We start from the raw sequence: 23,718 nt of genomic DNA, 5'->3' as shown, positions 1-23,718 counted from the left end.
AGGCAAATAAAAAGGATGTCAACTTGATGTGCAATGTTTTACTTCTTATAAATGGAAAAAGATTAGAAGCAAATATAAAAATGTTAGCATTTATTAATTTGGCAAATAAATACACTGGAGTTTGTAATATTTTCCTTTACAGTTTTCTGTATTAATTTTTGTTGTTTCAAGATAAAATACTAAAAACTTGTCACAGAGAAGTTACATGGATTCATTCAATCAATTGTTCATTAATTCACCTAAGATTTAATGCCATTACCATTATAGATAGTATCAAGTACTCTCTACAGCTTGGCGATCTACTAGTGAGCAAAACAGCCCCAGCCCCTGCCCACACAGGGCTTAGCACATGTAGGGCAAAGACCACTCCTTATGGAAATATAGTCCACCAGCTTGAGAGTCTTCCCTGAAGTTCAGTTTAGGAAGGTGGTTAGAAGGAGCACTTAGGTGTAGCTGAGATTTAACTCCTGTATGTCCTACCCTTTCTGGGTGTTCCTGGAATGCCTGACTCATGGGCATGTTACTAGAATTAAGGTGATTCTGTAGCTAGAGCCCTTAGCCTAGCCCTGGCTCCAAGGAGGCACTCAACAAATGCCCGGTTCCTTTACTTTGTCCCTTGAGAGAATGCAGGGCTTTAAGTGCTAGTTTAGGAATGCTGGGTTTGCATCTGAAATAATTATATTCAACAGCTAAACATGGGCGGAGTGAGGTCCAATCTTTTCACAAGCTGTTCAAACATAATAACAGGAGGCTGATTTTTAAGAGCTGAAGAGGAGATAAGCATTTGGCCCAGAAGGTAACTAGAAGGGAGATGCTGAGGGGGGTCATCAAACCATGTCACATAAGGGGGCGACTAAAAAACTGAAGAGAGAGAAGCCTGAACAAGGAAGAACTTAATAGCTGACCTCAAAAGTATGCCATGAGGAAAAGAAATACGACTTACTTTATAGAATTCAAGATAACTCAAAGGAAAATGAGTTTGGCTTGCCACAAGGAAGACAATGTTAATAATCCCAGTTGCCCATGGAATAAAAGACCTCTAAAAGGAGGTGGTAAGTGAGCTCCCCATCACTGAGGATAACCAAGGATGTGGTAGAAGAGCACTCTGTGGTGATGCTACAAAGGAAATCCAAGCATTCTATCGATTTCTGGGCTGCATGCTTTTTTAAAGTCTCTGAGTGTTGAGAGTTTATGACTAACTTACGGTCTTAAGAGGAGCTGAAACAGCTGGATAGGTGTCCTGCTCCAGCCTGTCCCACTAATTGCTCACTAATCCCTTAACAGTAGCTTCCATTTTTGCAACATCTTTGGATATTTTCAAAGTCCTTTCACATGCATTTTCACATTTCTCCCCAAGAGCCCATGAAGAAATAGCAGATCCAATCCTAAGCTGAACAGGGAGAGGTGCAGGGGAGAAAGTGAGAGGAAAGGCCTGTGATTGGGCATAGAGGGACCTGCCTTCCACGGAACTGAAGCATTGGAAAAGACACTGGCTCCAATTGCCATGCACCCTGCAACTACTTCCTAAGGTCAGAGGCTCGGTGTGGAGGTCACAACCTAAAAGCAAGTTAGGTGTGCTATGTTGGCCAGAGGCACAGCACGTGGGGACAACATGGAGAACTGTTCCCGGCAGCTGCCACCACCACTGTGATCTCATCTGGAGGAAGAAAGGCAGCAGCTGCCACCCCCACTTCTCGCAGCCAGACAGTGAACAGTCCCTCAATCTCCAACCTGTTGAGGGCGAAACAGCTGGAAACCTCCTGCCTGCCTCTAGGTCACAAAACTTGGCAGCAAGCTGAAGACTCCAGGAATGAGAGAGAGACACCCCTCCTTGTCTCTTCTCCCCAGACACTGATTTCCTGAGAGTCAAGAAGCCAGTCAGTCATCGCACCGAAGGAAGGAAGTGAGTGATGGACAGTGGAGATCCTTTATGAGCCCCGGAAGTTCTTTAGCCGTGTGACAATGAGCATATGTGTGTATCAGTCACCGTGGCTGCATAACAAACCAGACCACACTGGCAGCACAAAACAGCAGCATTCTTTTCTTGTCATTACGTCTCCTGGTTCTGTGTGTGACTAGCCTCAGTTAGGTAGTTCTCACTCAGAAATTCTTAAGAGGTTGCAGTCAGGTGGTGACTGAGGATGGGGTCACCTAGGAAGTGTCTTCACCCACACCTCTGGTTGTTGATGCTGCCTGTCAGCTAGGACCTCAGCTGGGGTCATCCATGATGCCTGGGCTTCCTCCCAACATGGCAGCCAGGTTCAAAGGGAGAGAGCTGGGTGGAAGCTGTATTGTTTTTATGACCCAGCTTCTGAAGGCAAATGACTTCTGCTATAATCTGTCAGTTACAGGGGACTCACAGAGGCCAGCCATATTCAAGGAAAGGGGAATCAGAGTCACTTCATGTAAGAGAAATATCAAAGCACTTGTGAGCATGTTTTAGAAGACCACAGGTACAACCTTTCCTTTAGAAACTGTACTCCATCGCCTTTGAGGAATCCACACATCACTTCCCAGAGCAGGAATTACCTCTCATTGTGCCTGGCTTTGGGTTAAGGAGCATCACTGAGTTGGATGTGTCCACATTTGGGAGGCTCTGGAAATAAGAAATCATGGAAGACCTGAATGCCAGGGCCACAGCGTTCCTGGCTTTAAACATATTGAGTCACTTTCAAAGATTTTGTGTGAAATACAAATTCCATTTCACACAAGGTAGAGCCCAGTGAGGGATTAACCAGTTGCCTGTGGATATAGTTCCATTTTCTTTTGACTCTGAAGCCAGGAAAGCCAGTGTATGCCCCTAAAATAACACACAGGTCAAAGCCTCCAGAACAGACTGTGCTTCTGTGCTGATACCATATCTCCTAACTTCTACTCAGGACTCAAATGGAGTCTCCTCTCTGCGTTTACATAAGTTCCAGGCCCCAGGCCCCAGCAACACTTCTAGAAATAACTCTTTTACTTTTGTATTACAAAATAAAAAGATCAGTCCAGGTGAAGGGAACCCTTGTGAGTAAAGCCTCTATTTTCTTGTACAAGGAGTTTTGGCAAAATTTTCTTATTGGCTCTCTTTTTTAAAAAAATTTGACCTGTTTTGAGCTTCACTGGAGTCCCCAGAAGTCTGACACATGGACGGAGGCAGTAAAAGATGAATGAGGAAAGAAGAAATGTTTTTCCTCTCATTCTAGACCTAGGTCTGAAATGCCTCCTCAGATCACCCATTCAGCTGAGCCCACTGCTGTGGCAGGATGGCTTGCCAGCAGTCAGCACTTGTACAAACACATGTTATGAGGCAGTGAAAAATAATGGGCTGAGGTTGAGTGCCGGGACTTAGCAAGATGAAAACACACACACACACACACACACACATACACACACACACACACACACGAAGGGGAAGAACTATTATGTGGTCTTCTGGGTCAAGATGAGCTTTCCACCCCAACTCAACAACATTGAAATCATGTAGTTGGGGGGATGCGGGAACTTAGCAATGACTGGCAGTGCCGGCTTTTTTCCCCTCACCCACAATGGCCCAACTTCCAACTGCCAGCACCTGCAGTCTTTTACCTGAAGGCTGTCTTCGGCCATGGGGACTGCTTTTCCTGTGTGAGGGGCAGGCTGGACGTGCCAAGGCATTGACACTTCTGGGAACAGCCCCCAACCCATGACTGGTGGAAGTGGTGTATAAATACCCCAGCTCCCTCACCCCTTGAAGGGAGAACTCTGAGGTATGTGTTCTACATTGTATCCTGGCGACCCCAGCCAGATTAAACTGAGTTGCTCACAGTGGTAACTGGGAATGATACCAACTATTTCATTGATTTGCAAAATAAAAAGATCTGCCTGGCAAAGGGAATCTTTGTGAGTAAAGCTTCTATTTTCTTGCAGAAGGAACTTAGGCAGAATTTTCTTTTCAGTTCCTTCTATTTTTTTTTCTTTTTCTTTCTTTTTTGACCTGTTTTGAGCTTCATCTTTCCTTCCTGGTCTCACTTCCCCATCCTCTACTGTTGTTTCCTGGGATCAACTCCTAAATAAACTATACACACCCACATCCTTGTCTTAGAATCTGCTTCTGGGGAACAAGAACTTAGCAAGGCACTTGATGGCAGAGCAACATATTAATGATCACCAAGGGTGTGCCACTGCTGTACATGTCATTTATGCATCTCAAGTTATCCACCCCAAATCAACTTGTGTGTCAGGAACCAACACATAAAAAAGAATCACAAAGAAACAAATGAGGATCCACACCAATGAAGTGTTCTGCTGGGACAGCGTTTGTTGGAAAAAATGACGATCGTATTCCTTCCAAAGACCCTGACACATGCAACTCCCGTGTTCATGCAGGGGGCCTTGTATCCCTACATCTATTCCAGGCATCCATTTCCCAATAAAGGTACTTGAAGAAGGAATTGTTTTCTCTCTCTGATGCTGTGTCTGTAATGAAGAGGCTGCTGGCCACTGAAAGCAGCTTCCACTACAGAATAACATGGCTGTTTACTCGGCAAATCAGACCATTCCCCCACCTTCTTAGCTTCTCTCCTCCCACTTACTGTCATAGCTGAATGTGCAGTGCTGCACCTGAAAGGTGTGAATGGTTATAAGACCCAAGGACTAGGGACACCTCCTCCTCCCTTCCTTCTTCCCTTCCCTTCCTAGCACAAGATTTTTGAGACCAGTTCATGGTTCTGCTTTGGAAGGAAGTGAGAGGGATATTAGGGATAACTGGCCCTTGTTAAGTTACTTTCTGTGGTCAACCAAAGCTCTAAGTTTCCATTTTTCACAAAAGTCTCTTTAAAAGTTTACCTAAGTAAGTATCTAAGAAAAATGACTAAAATCTACAAGGCATTTCCTGAAGAGAAATACATGCAACAAATTAACATTTACCTGGAAAGTCTGTCATGGTGTATATGTCATCAATATGTATAGATGTGTATCTACATGTATGTATATGAGGATGTGTATGTGTCCAGAATGTGCCTACACACAAATACATGGATGAATCTCAAAAACAGAGTGCTATGAAGCCTTACATCCAAAAGCACATATTGTAGGATTCATGCACATAAAGTTCTAGAACAGGCACAAACTAATCTATGGTGATATCAGAAAAGTAGTTGTATGGGGTATGCTGAGCTGGGGTTCCTGAGAAGGGGCAAGAGAGAACTTCCTGGGATGATGGTATGTCCTATACCTTGACAGAGGCAGGGGGCAAAGGTTTACTATATGTCAGAACTCATGGATGCAACTCAAAACTTGTGCACATCATGCGTATAAACGTAACCCAAAGTAGAAGGGTAAAAAGTGATAAACTTTAGCTAATGATATACATGATCTAACAACACATGTGAGAGGGAATGGGTTGACTTCTGAAATTACTTTGAAGTCTACTAAAATAGCATGGATTGATGGATGGCCACAGGGTTGGGGAGAGGGATAAACATGTGATAATAGCCAGTATAGTAAAATGTAAACTATAGAACCTAGGTGCTGGGTCTATATGCATTCAGTATAAAATTCATTCTAGTTTTCTATATGTTTCCAAATGTTCATAATAAAATGCTGGAGAAGAAAATACAGCTGGCTCCTGTATTCATGGGTTCTGTATCTGTGAATTCAACCAATTGTGGATAAAAAATATTTGGAAAATTTGAGCCATGGTCTGAGAGACTCTTTGTTATGTTTTCAGTTCTCTTCCATTTGCTGAGAAGTGTTTTACTTCTAATTATGTGATTGATTTTAAAGTAAGTGCCACGTGGCTCCAAGAAGAATGTATAATCTGTTGTTTTTAGGTGGAAAGCTCTGTAGATGTCTATCAGGTCCACTTGATCCAGAGCTGAGTTCAAGTCCTGAATATCCTTGTTAATTTTCTGTCTCAATGGCCTAATATTGACAGTGGGGTATTAAAGTTTCCCACTATTATTGTGTGGCAGTCTAAGTCTCTTTGTAGATCTCTTAGAACTGGTTTTATGAATCTGGGTGCTCCTGTATTGGGTGCATATGTATTTAGGACAGTTAGCTCTTCTTGTTGAATTGATTCCTTAGCTAAAGCAGTGTTAAGAGGGAAATATATAACACTAAATGACCATATCGAAAAGCTAGAAAGATCTTAAATCAACACCCTAACATCATAACTAAAAGAACTAGAGAACCAAGAGCAAACAAACCCCAAAGCTAGCAGAAGACAAGAAATAACCAAGATCACAGTGGAACTGAAGGAGACAGAGACATGAGAAACCCTTCAAAAAATCCATGAATCCAGGAGCTATTTTTTTTTGAAAAAAAAAAAAAAAAAAGACCACTAGCTAGACTAATAAAGAAAAAAGAATCAAATAGACACAATAAAAAATGATAATGGGGATATCACCACTGATCCCACTGAAATACAAACAACTGTCAGAGAATACTATAAACACCTCTATGCAAATAAACTAGAAAATCTAGAAGAAAAGGATAAACTGTTGGACACATACACCATCCCAAGATTGAACCGGGAATAAGTTGAATCCCTGAATAGACCAATAACAAGTTCTGAAATCGAGACAGTAATAAATAGCCTACCAACCAAAAAAAGCCCAGGACCAGACAGATTTATAGCTGAATTCTACCAGAGGTACAAAGAGGAGCCGGTACCATTTCTTCTGAAACTATTCCAAACAATTGAGAAGGAGGGACTTCTCTCTAACTCATTCTATGAGGCCAGCATCATCTTGATACCAAAACCTGGCAGAGATACAACAACAACAAAAAAAAAAACTTAAGGCCAATATCCCTGATGAACATCTATGCAAAAATCCTCAATAAAATACTGGCAAACTGAATCCAGCAGCACATCAAAAAGTTTATCCACCACGATCAATTCAGCTTCATCCCTGATGCAAGGCTGGTTCAACATATGCAAGTCAATAAATGTAATTCATCACATAAACAGAAATAAAATCAGAAACCACATGATTATCTCAATAGACACAGAAAAGACCTTCAATAAAATTCAACATCCCTTCATGTTAAAAACTCTCAATAAACTAGGTATTGATGGAACATACCTTAAAATAATAAGAGTCATTTATGACAAACCCACAGCCAATATCATACTGAATGGGCAAAAGCTGGAAGCATTCCCCTTAAAAACTGGCCCAAGGCAAGGATGCCCCATCTCACCACCCCTATTCAACATAGTAGTGGAAGTTCTGGCCAGGGCAAAGAGAAAGAAATAAAAGGTATTCAAATAGGAGAAGAGGAAGTCAAACTGTCTCTGTTTGCAGATTACATGAACCCATATCTAGAAAACCCCATGGTCTCAGCCCAAAAGCTTCTTAAGCTGACAAGCAACATCAGCAAAGTCTCAGGAAATGATTCTAATATCCAGATTCTACAAGGAACTTAAAAAATTTTACAAGAAGAAAAACAAACAACCCCATTAAAAATTGGGCAAGGGACACGAACAGACACTTCTCAAAAGAAGACATTTGTACGGCCAACAAACATATGAACAAAAGCTCAATATCACTGATCATTAGAGAAATGCAAATAAAAACCACAGTGAGATACAATCTCGAGCCAGTTAGAATGCAATTATTAAAAAGTTAAGAAACAACAGCTATTTATTGTTAAAATAGATGCTGGTAAGGCTGTGGAGAAATAGAAACACTTTTACACTGTTGGTGGGAATGTAAATTAGTTCAACCATTGTGGAAGACAGTGTGGCGATTCCTCAAAGACCTAAAAACAGAAATACCATTTGACCCAGCAATCCCATTACTAGGTATATAACCAAAGGAATATAAGTAATTCTACAATAAAGACACATGCATGCATATATTCATTGCAGCACTATTCACAATAGCAAAGACATGGAATCAATCCAAATGCCAATCAATGACAGGCTAGATAAAGAAAATGTGGTACATATGCACCATGGAATACTATGCAGCCATAAAAAGGAATGAGATAGTGTCCTTTGCATATATATATATGGATGGAGCTGGAAGCCATTATCCTCAGAAAACTAATGCAAGCACGGAAAACCAAACACTGCATGTTCCCACATGTAAGTAGGAGCTGAACAATGAGAACACATGGAAACGGGGAAGGGAACAACACACACTGGGGCCTGTTGGGGAGAAGGGGGAGAAAGAGCATCAGGATAAATAGCTAATGCATGTGGGGCTTAATACCTAGGTGATGGGTTGATAGGTGCAGCAAATCACCAAAGCACAAACCTGCATATCCTGCACCTGTATCCCAGAACTTAATATAAAATACAATTAAATTTTTTCTTTAAAGAAAAAAAGTGTTTATTGATTAAAAGTAATTTTGACTAGAGTAATTAATTAAAATGGTTTGATTTCCATTTATAGATTTTATGAATAAATGCTAGAGTTTTCCATTAAAAAATAATTGGAAAAAAAATTCCACAAAGTTCCAAAAAGCAAAACTTAAATTTGCCACGTCTCAAGTACTACATTGAATCCACGTAAATGAAGTGATGTATAGGCATTGTATTAGGTATTAGGTATTATAAGCAACCTAGAGATGATTTAAAGTGTATGGGAGGATGTGCATAGGTTATATGCAAATGCTATGCCATTTTATATCAGGGACTTGAGGACCCATGCATTCTGATATTCTGAGGTGGGGGGGTGTCCTAGAACCAATCCCCCGTGGATACCAAGGGACCACTGGACCTAAAGGCAAGATTCTTGAGACTGAATGAGGAGACAGAGGAAGCAAAATTTTAAATAAACAGCACATCGAATTGTGGCATTGATGGGACAGTAATTCTATATTTATAGTGGGAATTACTGAGGAATTCTGTCCTCCTGAGAACCACTAAGCAGAGCCAGGCACTGAGTAATTTTGCTTGGGCATCCTTAAAGGAAATATCCCTTTTTTTTTTTTTTTTTTTTGAGACGAAGTTTTGTTATGTTGCCCAGGTTGGAGTGCAGTGGTGCCATCTCGGCTCACTGCAACCTCCATCTCCCGGGTTCAAGTGATTCTCATACCTCAGCCTCCCAAGTAGCTGGGATTACAGGTGCCTGCCACCACGCCCAACTAATTTTTGTATTTTTAGTAGAGATGGGTTTTCACGATGTTGGCCAGGCTGGTCTTGAACTCCTGACCTCGGGTGATCCACCCACCTCAGCCTCCCAAAATGCTGGGATTTCAGACATGAGCCACCATGCCCAGCCAGGAAACATCCCTTTCCGAGCCACGAACATAAAATGATTCCACAAAGGGGCCAATGTCCTGCATGAAACCAGGGCAATTGGATAAAAATGGCTGAGAGTGGGGAGGTGCAGCTGCGTTACAACTCTCCTTCCTTTAAATTCAGTATTAAATAACTCAATTTAATAAATTGGCCTAGTATTTGTGGTTAAAATGGAGCAGGCAGTGGGGAAACTGTGTTGCTGGAATGTGGAAAGATATTGTCCAAAGGGCAGCCTCCCACCTCAATGGTCCTACGGATGCAAGGGTGCTATGGTCTTCATGCTTATGTTCCCCCCAAATTCTCATGCTAAATTCCTAGCCCCCAAGGCAGGGGGTAGGACCTTTGGCAAGGTGATTAGGAGGTAAGACCTTTGGGAAGATGATTAAGAATAGGATTACTAAATCTATAAAAGAGACTCCAAAGGGCTCCCTTGCCCCTTCCTCAGTGTGAGGACAGAGTAAGAAGGCGCTAACCATGAACCAGGAAACAGGTCCTCACCAGACACTGAATCTGCCAGTGCCTTGGCCTTGGACTTCCAGCTTCCAGAACTGTAAGAAATAAATTTCTGTCGTTTAGACGACATTCAGTCTATGGCATTTTGTTTTAGCAGCCTGAGCAGACTACGACAAGAAGGTCAGTCAAGTGCAGATCAAACCCTCCTTTCCCACCTGCTTCTGCCTCTCAACCTCATCCCTGCGACCACTGCTATCCATTCTACACACCCAGCCTGCATACTCGGCCTACAGACCAAAATCCCCATCATCCGTGATTTTTCTATAAATTTACCCAGGGCAAGTCAACAAGATTTCAGCAGAAGTGGAATTCCCGTTCCCCAGAAAAAGCTCCACGGGGAGGCTTACCTTGATACTGACAGGCTGTTCATGTGACTGGCTCCTGTGCTTTGACAACTAAGACTATTTTTACTTTCCGCCTGGGTTTTTGTAGTATTAGTGCCTGTCAAATTCATTTTACCTGCCTCCCATAGTAGAAAACTCCCACGCCCTAAAAACCAGAGAAAGGAATCAGCAGCATGAATAATAACTACAATCTCTTAAGTGTGACAAGCTGAGACTCCGTTTGCAGGACCCCTCAGGACTGTTGCAAAGTGGGTGCTTGGAAAATGGGCATCCACTCAGGGACTGAGCACTGGCTGTGTGTTAAAGACTTGACACGCTTTGTTCCACCAACTCATGAATGATCCCCACTTCTCAGGGAAGGGAACCAAGGCTTTGAGAGATTACGCGGCTGGTCCAGGGTCCCACAGCCCATGGGTCCTCCCCAGGCCTGTGATGCCCAGGCCCTACATCCATCACTCTGCTCAGAAGTACCTACAATTACAAAATGTGGCCTCTCCTTATCTATCTGAAAGGTTCCCTCATGACCCCAAGACAGGGTGGGTACTGTGAGTGCCCATTTATCAACTGAGGTCACAGAAGCTTCACTGAGTCCAGCCTGCTCTTTGGACCCAGTCCTCTGCTCCTTCCAGAGCCTGTCCCAGGGGTCTGCAGCTTCTTGCCTTTTTTCTTTTTTTCATATCAGTGTCCCTGATCCCAATAACGTGGACACTGAGTGGGCCCTGAGGTCTCCTGCAGGCCCAGGGCTGGGGAGCCAGGCTGAGCTCCTGGCACAAAGGTTTTGACAGGGATGGATGAGCCACTGGGCTGGGCCCAAATCCATTTTGTTCTGAGTCAGCTTCTAAAAAAGGCTGCTAATCTTTAGTTCAAGGATTTTATTGTTCTATTATAGACATTTCAGCCAAAAGAAATGGGAGTCACACTCTATCAGGAACCTCAGAAGCGTCCGTAGGATAGCCTAGACATGTACCTATTTAAACTTACTCTCCAAGGTGGAATGTGAACATAGTCCTGGGCCTCAGTGGAACCTACTCCAGGGCACACAAACCGAGGTGTGGCCGTGGCCCACTAGCCAGGGATAGACTGTGCTTGGTGCCTCTGACCAAACCAAAGCGCACTCACTGGTGTAGCTCAGACCATCCCTGACCTTCACAGCCCTCAGACAGGCCACCCCCATTGTTCATGGAGCCTGCTGAGAAACTCCTCAGGCCTGGAGAGCCTTTGGGGAGAGAGACCAGGCCTACCTGGGCCTCCCTGGGCCTCATTCCACCCCGAAGCACCAGAGTCCACCCAGGCCTGGGAGTGTCAGAGAGCAGCCGGGAGATGTGCCCCAAGGCCCTGCCCTCAGCCCCAGGGGCACCTCGCCCTGTTACCTCGGCCAGCCCTGGCTTCTGAGTGGGTGGGAGTGGCAAGTGCTGAGGCAACTGAGGACCCGATGGCAAGATTAGACCCACAAATAGGACAAGGCAGGAACATTCCCTGTTGACTTCAATACAAAGAGATTTTAAAATGCAGCTAGTGTGAAACACACCCTGGTGTTTCCCAGGGCAAGAAAGCTTAGAAACAAAACCCGTGGTCTCCAAGATAGAGTGAAGAAACAAATGTTCACAGGGCTTGGGAGTAGTGCTGAACACACATAGACCCTGCTGGAAGACAGGTTTGGTGTCTTACATGTGGCTGGCGGTCTCCCTTTATTCATCTGTTTGCCAGCTTGTTGAAGATTCTAGGCCTTGCAAGCCCAGCTATTCTACCCTGAGCCAGCTTGACAGAGACCACCCATGCAAGAGGTGGGTCTCAGGCCACCATTCTCACCTGCTGTTCACGCTGCTATAATAGAACACCATAGACTGGGTGGCCTATAAACAACAGAAATTTATTTCTCACAGCTCTGAAGGCTGGGAAGTCCAAGATCAAGATGCCAGCAGGCTTGGTGTCTGGTGGAGGGCCTGCATGCTGGTTCATAGATGACATTTTCTCACTCTAGCCTCACAAGGTGGAAGGGGTGAGGGCTTTCTCTCAGGCCTCTTTTATAAGAACACTAAATCCTATTCCTGAGGGGACTGATCTCATGACCTAATCGTTCCCCTAAAAGCTCCATCTTCTAACACTATCACCTTGGGAGTTAGAATTTCAACAAATGAATACTGGAGGGACACAAACACTCAGACTATAACCCCCTGGAAGCTTGAAAACCTCTGACACCTGCTTCCCAGTCCCAGAGGCTGAGATTTTCCTGGCCTGGGGTGGACCTGGGTTTAAAATCTCCACAGGTGCCTCCAATGAGCTAAGCCAGGGATCCTCACACTTGAGTGTGCCTCACAAGCCCCTGGAGGGCTTGTTACAACCCAGATGGCTGGGCCTGCCTTTCAGAGGTTCCAATCCAGTAGGGCGCAGGTGCAGCTCAAGGATGAGCATTTGTAACAGGCACCCAGGGGCTGCTGCTGCTGGTGGTGGTGGTCCTAAGACATCTGAGAGCGCTTAAAAGGGGGCAGAACAGAGCCCACCTGGCAACCCAGATTATGTGACCTAAGGCTGACCACACACAAACAAGGCTTTGGGAGACAGGCAACCTTAGAGTCCTGGTCCTTGCTCTAGTGCCAACTAGCAGGGAGCCCTGGAGGTGCCCCTCATGTCTCTAAACCTGAAGCTTCATCTGCAAAATAAGATTATCTGTGTAACAATCTCAGTAAGAGATTGAAGAAAAGAGCCCCAAGTCCCCTGGGCACACTGCTGCTCCAGAAATGATTGAGGAGTGGGGAGCCAGGTGGGTGGGAGTGAACCCCAGGGAGTAGAGACATGGCCAAGGCCACATGTGCTCCCAGGCCAGGAGGAAGCAGCACTATGTGGCTTATCACTGTCATAGGCCACAGTGCAGCCGAGAGGTGTGTTGGGACCAGGAGGTGACTTCTCTTGCAGGCTCTCCACTCCCCAAGGTGGGTGTTCCCAGCACCCCGCTGTAATACCCATGGTCTCTACACACAGTTGAGTGCATTGCTCACTGCTCCGGGGGTGCCTGTGAGATAAGCTCTGGGGAAACTGTCATCGTGCAGAGCAAGCCATGAGTACAGGTGGACAACCCTAAGTGGCTGCTTTACTGTGGAACCCCAGAGGAAAGCAATTCCAAGGTAGAATGAGTACTAGACATGTGGTCTGGAGACCCAGATGCTCTGGAGCAAGGGGTGTTCCAGGCCCGTGGTTTCAAGCTCTTTTAGGGGGTAAACTTTTACTCTTCAAATAAAATTTTAAACAGATCCCTAACATACGAAAGGAAAAATATTGGAGTTTTTTTGATTGTGTGCCAGTGGGTGGGGGCAGGAGGAGGGGAGAGTACCTGAATCACAGACCCCCAGCCCAGGGGTGACATTAAAAATATGCAATATGGCACAGGCACCACCTGGGGGAAGGATCAGGGAGAGTAGAGAGGACCTTGGAAATGTCATTCCTGCCTCAACCTCCCCTGCAGAGCACATGAGGCAACTGTCACAGAGCCTGGAACCAGGGGCAGCAGCAAACATTTCTGTAAAGGCCCAAGAATAAATATTTTAGGCTTTTCAAGCCCTGTGGTCTGTGTTGCAACTACTCAATTCAGCCTTCATAGAGCAAAAGTTGCCATAGAAACACATAAATGGATGTGTGTGGCTGTGTTCCAATAAAACTTTATTCACAAAGACAGTCGACAGGCCCCCTGTGGCCAAGGGCTCTTGTTTGTTGAGCCCTGGCTTAGAGGAAAAGGGTTTAGAAGCCACTAGAAACCATAATCCCTATGTTTGTTTTTGCATTTATGACTCTGAATTCTCAGTTCTTTAACTCGACTTGCTTTGCTCTCAGACTAACTAATCTATCAACTGGGCATCATCATACCGTTTTTCCTGACCTTGAGGTATTTATTCCAAGAGCCAAACATGTTCCAATGAGCTAATGAATGTGAAAATGCTTTGAAATGTCTAAAGGACTTTACAAATAGATCCACAAAATCTCTGCATCTAACAGCAGAGTTTTATCATCCTTTACCTGTGTTTCAGAAAGATTCCAGACACCACTCACCAAATTAGGCTGCCTGGGCTGCTTTTAAAGAACAGTGTTTAAAAAAATGTCTCAATAAAAATGCCCTAAAGGGATGTCAAAGCTAGAAAAAACAAATAGTGTCTGGCCCTTTCTGCTAGAGCCTGAGACTTTAAACTCTTCATTAGTATAAAGTAGAAAATCCTCTGCTCCCTATTTCATCCTGTTTGTTTACATAGTGGACTCTTAGGCCAGAAACTTATTAGTCAGAAGCCTCGTAGTTAATACCACTGTATGTCTCCTACACGCAGCCCAACCTGTAAGAATGTGGTATTGTTGCTGAATGACACTAAATAATCTATTCATCATTAAAACAATCTTATTCCCACAAAGTTCTAATGTGCCTGCAGAGTGGTAAATTCCTATAAATGATCTCCATCAGCCTACCTTCCACTGTATTTCTGGCAGCAAAGATAATATGGCTACAATTTATTAAGCACATACTATGATTTGCAGCTGCTCTGCAAAGCTTACTTCACTGAATGATTACCACAAGCCTGGGAAGAAGGCATCTTAATTTGCATTTTACAGAGGGTGGAAATGAGGTCTAAATAATTTAGGAAGCCACTTGGCATCACACAGGTCGAAAGTGGTGGAGTTGGGATTTAGGATTTACTCCAGAACCCAAGTTCTTTCCACACAATTGCCAAATGACTTCATCTATACAAAAGCATTCATTATTTTCCGCAGGGTTCTTTTATTACCAAAGAAAAGATGCAATTTGCAAATGGCACCACTGGGACAATTTCTGCCTCATTGATGACCCCCACAAGGTGAAAAGAGAATAAAATTGTTTCACTTGATGAGGGAATTGTTATGAAGATTAAAGCAAGAGCTATAGCCAGCCTTGGCAGACATAAATTTGGGTTATGATTTTTCTATAATGGTGGTATTTGGCTTTTGAAAATGAGATAAGCATAAAGAAAAATTGGGAAATTTGCTTTTTCAGAAGAAACAAGTTTGGGGGAAATTAATGTAGCAGAGACTAGCTAGCAGTTCACCAAACCTGTTTCTTCTTCTTTCTACATTCCACTGATGTACATGGGCCAGCCTCCCTTGAGGTTAGAGGTTGTCATGTGACTGAGCTCCGCCAATGGAATGTGAGCATCGGTGAGCATCTAGTCCATAAAACCCTGCTACCCCAAATCCTCCATGCTCTTTCCCCTTAATGCAAAGAAGCACAGCAACCTTGGAAGCCAAGTTGAGGAGGGAAAGGCCTAAAGATAGAAGGTTCTGGAGTCCATGGACCCCTTCTTGCAACAGGTGCAACTATAGACTAGAACATTCCATGAGAAAGAAATAAACTTCTCTTGTGTTAACACAGAAATCTGGAGGACTTCTCTGTTACAGCAGCTACTATTACCCTATCTAAATAATTCAGCACACAATTTGATACAAATTAAAAAGCAGATCACATTAGTTCCAAATCTGTTCCACTTAAGAATCTCAACAGCTGTGATTTGAATCATTATGAGAATTACAACTTCAGAAAGAAGTTCAAGTTACATAAGCTAGTGAAATAATGTACAGATGAATCTTAAGTCTTTAAATTTAGTTCTTTCTTGGGTTCAAACCCAGCAATAACCACATTAACCTAATTGCAATTTGTCATTTCTAGTATTTCGGAAACATTTGGTCAAATAAAACATATTATTAAAATTAATTTCACCTGTTTCTTTGTACTTTTGTAATGTAGCTAATAGAAAATTTAAAAGTACGCTTGTAGCTCACATCTTGTTCCTACTGGACAGTGCTACTCGAGATTGTGCAGACCTCAGATTTTCTCTTCAATTATTAATGGGTATTGAGCACTGCACGGGTGTTGGGTGGCCCTATGTTACTTCTGACAAGCCCTCTGACCTTGGGCGGTTGTTTATCCCCTCTGGTTCTTGTTTTTTTCATGTAAAAGATGACAATGTTGGCCCTATCATGCTTTGTAGACTGGTCATGTCCAGCCCTCTGATTTTAAACCAGCCCACTCTGATGTCACAGTTTAAACCCCAAACAGTGGGATCCTGACACTGTTCATGGCCAGTACCCTGAACGCATGTTTTCTGCTTGCTGGTCTGTGCCTGGACTCCAGTTCTTGTTTATGGACCACAGGCACCCCTTGAACCTCCCCTCCTGTTGCTTCTCTCATATAGACTTCCCGGTTTCCCTCGTCAACTGCAGCTCACATTTAACTGTTAACTGTGGGCTTCGGGCCAGTCAATAGCTGACCTGTAGGCACTCCTGGCCATCCCCATAGGGCAGTGCCCTGCCAGCCTGACTTTGGTCTTGAAACACAGGCCAAGCATCCTCTTCACTTTTCGAGGCCTTAGGCCCAGCTAAGCCAGACAGAGTGGGATGATCCTTTATCAAGGGAAATCCAGTGATCTCACAGTGAAGCCCACACCAAAGGCCATCATTTTAAATATTTTCCTTCTTCCAAAGTTTATTTGGAAAAAGCACTCTGAGGAAAAGCTCATTTCCTTAAAATATCAAGGAACCAAAAACCAAAAGATGATATATTTTTCTGGAGACACACTGCAAAGTGTATAAATAAAATTCTGTAAAGTGCACAAATAAATATTACAAAGAATTCATTTCTGCTACAGTTGTCTACCATCTTCAATATTACATTTAGCTAACTTAATTTTCCATGGATCAAATTATTCAAAGTTAAATTTCTCTTAATAGGTCATCTGAGTAAACAATTTCAAGTGTTACTTGCCAAAAGAAAAAAAAAAAAATGTTTCCAGGCTTCAGATGAAGTCGGCAGTGTCAGGCTAAGAAAACAACCTTAAAAATTCACAGAGAGCTGGAACAATTGCAAAGAAAAGTTGGAGCCCGGAGGTCAGTCAGTCTTGTTCATGCAGTTCTGAAGGTAGAAAAAAAAAAAAAAATCACAAATTTCTACCAAAACTAGGTCTTCAAGGGGCAAAGGAAAAATGCCTTTTTTTTTTTTTTTTTTTTTTTTTGAGACAGGGTCTCATTCTGTCACCCAGGCTGGAGTGCAGTGGAGTGATCTCAGCTCACTGCAACCTCCATCTCCCAGGCTCAGTTGATCCTTCCACCTCAGCCCCCCAAGTAGCTGGGACCACAGACTCACACCACCACGACTGGCTAACTTTTGTACATTTTATAGAGATGGGGTTTCACCATGTTGCCCAGGCTGGTCCCGAACTCCTGGCCTCAAGTAATCCACCCGCCTTGGGCTCCCAAAGTGCTGGGATTATAGGCGTGAGTCACCGCGCCCAGTGCCATTTTTTTGAAAGCAGAAAATGTATAAAGTAATATATCCTTAAAGTAGCAGCTGTCATCAGAAGACAGCACCCTGGGCTTTCTCTGGCACCAAAACTGGGCACTCTGTGCTCCTGGTTTTCAGACAGAGAGAAAGGGAGAAGGCAGGGCAGAGGGAAGGGGAGGAGGGGAGAGGGAGTAGAGGAAGGCTTGAGGTATGGCATGGAATTCTGCAAACACAGCAGTTATTAAGGGAAATGGGAGAGTGTCAAGGGGAAGAAGTTTTCTTGAATTTCTATTCTTGAAATTTCTTGGAATAAATGGATGTGTGCAAGGGAAGGGATAAATGTAGTTGAAGATCTATTTTGTAGGTGAGGAAATGGTAATCTGAGAGGCAAACCAGAATCATGCCCCAACAGGGAATATAACCAGAATAGAGGTAACTCTGTCTCCAGTCTCTGAATCTACAGGCTTCCTCTAATAGCATCTAAAGCCAGGGCTTCTGACAGCACAGTCTGAGAAGCCCCATGACATCACAAGTGGCAGCTGGGTGTACTTTATGACAAATGCCAAATTAACTCCTGCCTGTGACCTTGCCACCATAACTCAGACAGCCAGGACACACACTGCACCCCAAACACTCAAGTCCCTGTGTAAATCTTCACTCCTCCAAGCACAGAGGGAAGCCTGCTCCGTAGGCTCTGTTAAGTGTACTGCTGCCGCTGACATCATCATAAATAGGAAGGGAGAGAGTCCAGGAACCACAGGGCTCACTTCCTAGCCTCTCTATTTAAGATTTTCGAGGGCAGATGGCACTATATTTAACCAGCACAAGTAGTATTCATTGTGCCCAGGGCCTCTTAAGGAAAACTGAACAAAGTTTTAGAATGAACCTGCCCTCACCTCACTCCTGCTCAACCATTTCACCCAACAACAAGTTAGAGGCAGAGAAGATGAATATTATTAAAATGATGCTTCTAAATCAGGACCTTATGGGTGCTTTGGCTCTCAACTTTTTTCATAAAATATCTGTCCAGTCCAGACCGAGGAGCCAGCTTCGACAGCATTCTGGTAAGGGCATGGAGGTAACCAGGGCTCACATGTGTCTGTGGCAATGTTCTGATCCTGTTGTTAGAAATAGTCAATGCAGCAGAGATGATGGCATTCATTGCCAAGCCTGAGGTCTTCAGGGCTTGCCTACATGGGAAGATGGTACTGAAGCCTCCTGTCTAGATGACGGTCTGTTTAGACCTGAGCTACCTGCGGTGTGGCCTGCTGACAGACTCGCTCTGCAGGGAGTAGCTGGAGAATGTTGCTCTAGGAATCTTGCACTGTGCCCCACCCGTAATGATGCCCCAGGACAGAGGGTGGGAAATTCACGAATACACTCCTACTACAGTGCCATCAAACCCAGGGCACTAAGCTGTCCACACTTTATTAGTAATTCTCACAGCAATCATGAAAGATCAGAATGATGATGTCAACTTCTAGAGAAGCACACAGAGACTCTGAGAACCTGGCTATTTGGCCAAAGTCCACAGCTTCAGGTCAGTGTGACTCTAAGACCCGGGGTAGAGATAAGGCCCTCAGATTTACATATTTGCTCTACACCCTTGAGATGTTTGCAATTGGGCTGGAAAGACAGGAGATACATCCAAAGACAACTGCAAGTTCTGACCACCCTGTCCAATAGCTCTTTCTGTGATGATGGAAATGTTTTGGGACCTGTGCTGTCATCTGTGATCCAACTATCGAGTATTTGACATGTAGTTGGTGCAACTGAGAATCTGAATATTTAATTTTAGTTGGTTTGAATTCACTTGAATTGAAATTGCCATTGAATGTCCATATTTAACAGCACATGTGGAGACATTTTATACCAGCAGCAGTCAGAAAAGAATGCTGCAGTCTGGGGTGGTCCAAGCAAGCTTCATGAAGCACGTGGGCTCTGACCCAGCCCTTGATGTGTTAGGATTTGAACAGAACTTCTCCTGTTTCAGGCATGATCATCTTCCTTGTGGAATTTGGTTCTGAATCAAGGGCCTCAGAAACCAAGCCCGGTTCTTTTGGTCTGCAGGTAAGGAAATCAAGATTGTCCCTCCTGGATCCATATTCCCTTTGGACCTGCTTTTCGCAGCATGACTCAGCTTGCTTTTGCTTCCTCCCATATTCCTCCTGAAGCCTTTCCTCTCCTCCCTTTCCCTGTGTGGCCCCTGCCAACACAGGCAGATCCCGGGTTCACGTTCTTTTTATCTACCTAGACATTTTCTTTTCTATCTGTGAGGCTGAGTTATTTCCACTCTTGGAATGACTTTGAATGTGCTTTATGCTTCTACATCTGTCACTCTGAGAACGGTATTTCCCAATACAGTGAGCAATGCTACTCACAGAGAGACCAACCACCTGCCCCCAAAACACACCCCAGCAACAGGGAACAGAATCCCCCCATCCTTGCTGGTTCTGCATATGGCTGAACCTAATGCTCAGAGCTGGTCACCATGTCCTGTCTGATTCCATTCTTTCCCATACCAGAAGTGATACCTGGGCTTTCTAATACTATTAGCTGATTAATCCTAATTAGCTTATTAGTTGGAGAAAGATGTTGAAAACTATTTGACTACAGGACCAGATCTGTTCTTGGCACAGAAGCTGTGCCTTCCCTGCTATGCCTTTTCAGGCTAGTCCTTGGAAATCTCTGCTTCTTAAAGTACACGTGGTTCAGTCCCTCAGTGGGGCACTTGGACCCTTCATACCCATTTTCATTTCTAACTCACGTAGCTGCCCATGTGCTGCTTCACTTTCAAGTGAAAAATGCTCCTTGTGAGCATGGAACAACAGCCACAGTAACCCTTGGATTCTCCAGGTTGAGGAACATAGACTACATAGGGTATTTTTTTTGTTTGTTTTTGTTTTTGTTTTTCTGGTGGTGGTGGTGGAGGCAGGGCAGATAACTATTTTTAATTCTTTCCAGCTTTGCTTGAAAGCTGATTGTTAAGAGTCTAAGTATGGTGGGAAGGGCACTCCCACCCATCTTCCCAATAGATCGCAGACCTGCAATTCTCTGACATGTCTTCTGTACTCAACAGCCTGTAGTTGTTTGGGCTGCAATGGAGATTGTTTATATCCTTCCGTGCTGACACTAAAGATGAGACAGACCTTTGGATGTAGGATCAGCATGTCATTGAGCTCCTGGGCCCTTGACAGTGGCACACATGAGGCCAAGTCCCCACCAGGCAAGGACAGAAAGCCCCAGAGAGCTTCGAGGTCCAAGTCAAAGCAGCAAAATATGGCTACAGACCTACTCCATCCCACCGCCTGTTTTGGTACAACCTGTGAGATAAGAATGCTTTTTAAATTGATAAAGCATTATAAAAAATTATTTTAAGAATACACTACAGATGCGATATGTGGCCTGCAAAGCCTACAGTATTTACTGTCTGGCCCTTTCCAGAACAAGTTTACTGACTCCAGGTCTAAACCTTCAGGGACTTCATTCATCCAGAGGGATGCCTGTCACGTCCCTGAGGCTTGGTGGGCTGGGTCCTCACAGCTCCTCATTCCCTTTGATCTGCTTTGTTTTCTTTTTCTGTTTAGTAACATTAGAGATAGAATGTTCCATATATATTTCTGGGGAATGGCATAATAGATATCAAATCTCACAACCAATAAATTAATATTCGCCTCTTCCAAGAAGTTCAACATCGTGAGTGACGATCCGGCCCAATCCCTGTGTCTCTACTGTGATAGAAACAAAGTTCCTGATTAAAAACCAGCCAAAGAGGACCAAAGCAATCAAAGCAAAGGTAACCACAAAATATCCTCACCCATCCTGCTCCTGCCTTGGTTTCTCACTTGGCAGCACCAGCCTCCACATCTGATCTCAGTACCGCATCAGGAGTGTCACTGTCTCTGACTTACCCCCAGCTCCAGTAGAAAACGAACACAGAGGTCAAAACACAACTTAATAGTCCCTCAGGATGTCACCTGAAAGTTTCTTAGACTCCCATCCTAAACATCTTTGGAGGCTTTCTGGATTAAAATTCTAAGAAAACACACAGCAGCTGGCTCTTCCTCAGCCATAGCCAGAGAAAATGACAGCTGCTGCCCATGAGTAGTCAGCACTGTTACCTGGTTCGGTGCAGTTCTTGCTGTTCCGGAGTCCGGCATCTTCGGAAGTCAGAGTGTCGTTCACCTGCATCAGCTTCCTCGCCATCATCCACTTTCTGTCTTCCCCTACGAGGTCCATGAGGTCAAGCTCTGGGGAGACAAAGACAATAACCACACATCATTCACAGCTGGGTTTCAGCCTCTGCCGACGCTGCATGCCCGCTGCCCTGATCAGCCATCACTTGTTCAGCCCCGCCTGCACCCCCAGCCACTCTGCCTCTAGCTGCCTGAAGGCTTCCTTGCCGCACCAGTGGGATGACTTTGAGGTGTATGTTCTAAGCTGGATTCTAGATTCTTCCCAGTGGGATCAAGCTCCAGTTGTCTACTGTGTAACTCTCTTGATAAAGCACACTTGATCAACTGCCCCCCATTCCCTGTCTCAATTCCCTGCTCCCAGTGACATGCTGAGAAATGTTTAACAACCAAATCTCGAAGGGGGAGAAAAGCCCTGTTTTGCAGCCACTGGCCAACTTCTGTGGTGTCAATATTCCCATTGTAGCCAATGCCAAGCTGCCCACATGACATCATTGAAAATGGTATTCGGAAGAGATGGACACAATCAGCTCCACTGAGTCAATAAGAGCTGGCTCCAGCCCACCGAGGTCTAGCCCCTGCCAGTATCTCCTGAAATCAGCCCCCAAATGAACCACCCACCATTGAACATACATCAGGATCTGCTTCTGGGGGTTATCAAGCAAAGACATAATTTGCCATCCCCAAAGCATAGGTTCATGAGTGCCACACAGCATGTTTTCAATGAACAAGAGATGAAGGCACGAACTAGGAAACAGTAGGTTGGGAGAGCAGGTAACAGGGCTCAGGGCTGCAATGACTGTGGGGTTGGAGGTGCCAGAAGAAAGAACACAGGCTAAAGAGCACACTGAAGGGGCCAGTGCAGTGCATTCTGTTTGGGGCATGCTGAGTTTGAAGAGCCTACAGAGCACGGAAAGGGAGGAACTTTGGAAGTCATTGGAAGGGATACTCCTGCTTCTTTTTAAATCTTTGGGGTCTTCCTGAGCATTAAGATTACAGTACCACAAAGCATTTCTCCTTGACCCAGAGAACAGTGGAATGGCCACGTTGCTGGCCACAGCATGACTCTCTCTTTAGGTACCGTGTAGATAGGCAGATGCCGTGGTGCTCGACCCATATTACTTGGTTCTGACCTCTTCAATGCCAGCTGGCACAGTGCAGCTTCTAGCACCTTCCTGTCATTGCCCAAGGCCTTTTTCTGGGCATCACCTTGGACATCCATGTGGCAGATTAGAAATGCTGCAAATGTGAGTGGAGGAACCTCGGGCAGAAAAGTAGAGCCACAGCAAGCCTCAGGGAAGTCATCAGCAATAGGGAAGGGTGGGAGGCACATATATGAATGGGGTCTCCCGGTGGAGAAGAGGGGGCACCAGGGAGAAGGAATGGAAGAACACAATATCCTTCAGAGAGGAGACAGAGCAAAAGGATACAGGAAGGGATCATGAAAGGAAGGAAAAGAGCAAGGAAAGCAGGTGTCGTGGAAGGTAAGCAGAAAGAGAATTTCAGGAAGGAAGGTGTAGCCAACAGCCTTGACCACCATGGACAGATCAGGTAAGATGAAGGCAGAAACATGACAGGTGGGGCCTGGCTTCATGGGGCCATGGGGAGACACAGACAGTAAGCCAAGCTGCAAAAGTGGCTCTTCCCAGGGGCTTGGCACTGAAGAAGGGACCTGAGGCAATGCTGCCTCTTGAATGTCCAAAGTTGCCGCGGGCGGAAAACGGATGGAAACACAAGACGTGGGCCTAACCCATGGGCCCAGTGGCCTTCACACAAGGCCACATGGTGCACCCAGCCACACCAACACGGTGTCTGAAGTGGTCACTGAAGAGCTGGAGGGCATTCTGCCCTCTCCTCTACTTCCACAGTGATTCAGTTTCCCAAATGATTTCTCCTTCGTTACTGAATTCAAACCTCACAACACCGCTCAAGAAAGAAGGAGAGTGTGGACATTGCCTCTCCAGCACCTGATCACTGCTGGCTCAGGGTAGGTACTCAGTAGGTATGTGTTGAAATAATTAGTCCCACTTTTTAGGTGGAGAAAGTGAGACTCATGGAAGTGTCTGGAAATCACAATGCCTGTGGGCACCTCACCTAAGCTAACATGATGCACATAATATCAGTAGCTCATGAACTGAGGTCTTCCTCAAACACAGACCCTGCTTC

The 23,718-nt window shown here is 44.6% G+C and overlaps 1 protein-coding gene and 1 long non-coding RNA gene across 2 annotated transcripts in view; one reads left to right on the top strand and one right to left on the bottom strand.

The window, feature by feature from the left end:
• The window catches only part of SLC24A3 (solute carrier family 24 member 3), a 510,285-nt gene that overhangs the window by 420,359 nt on the left and 66,208 nt on the right, over positions 1-23,718 (bottom strand). Inside the window, exon 2 of the mRNA NM_020689.4 lies at positions 21,481-21,609. Within this exon, the coding sequence (NP_065740.2) occupies positions 21,481-21,609 (129 nt within the window). The remainder of the gene's footprint in view (positions 1-21,480; positions 21,610-23,718) is intronic.
• Positions 17,972-23,718, top strand: part of SLC24A3-AS1 (SLC24A3 antisense RNA 1) — a 42,295-nt gene continuing 36,548 nt past the window's right edge. Inside the window, exons 1-2 of the long non-coding RNA NR_024564.1 lie at positions 17,972-18,423; positions 19,353-19,429. This is a non-coding gene — a long non-coding RNA (SLC24A3 antisense RNA 1). The remainder of the gene's footprint in view (positions 18,424-19,352; positions 19,430-23,718) is intronic.

This window comes from Homo sapiens, chromosome 20 (genome assembly GCF_000001405.40).
Source record: "Homo sapiens chromosome 20, GRCh38.p14 Primary Assembly".
NCBI lineage: Eukaryota > Metazoa > Chordata > Mammalia > Primates > Hominidae > Homo > Homo sapiens.
Note: the sequence above shows the minus strand (reverse complement) of the source record. Positions and strands in the feature narration are given on the sequence as shown.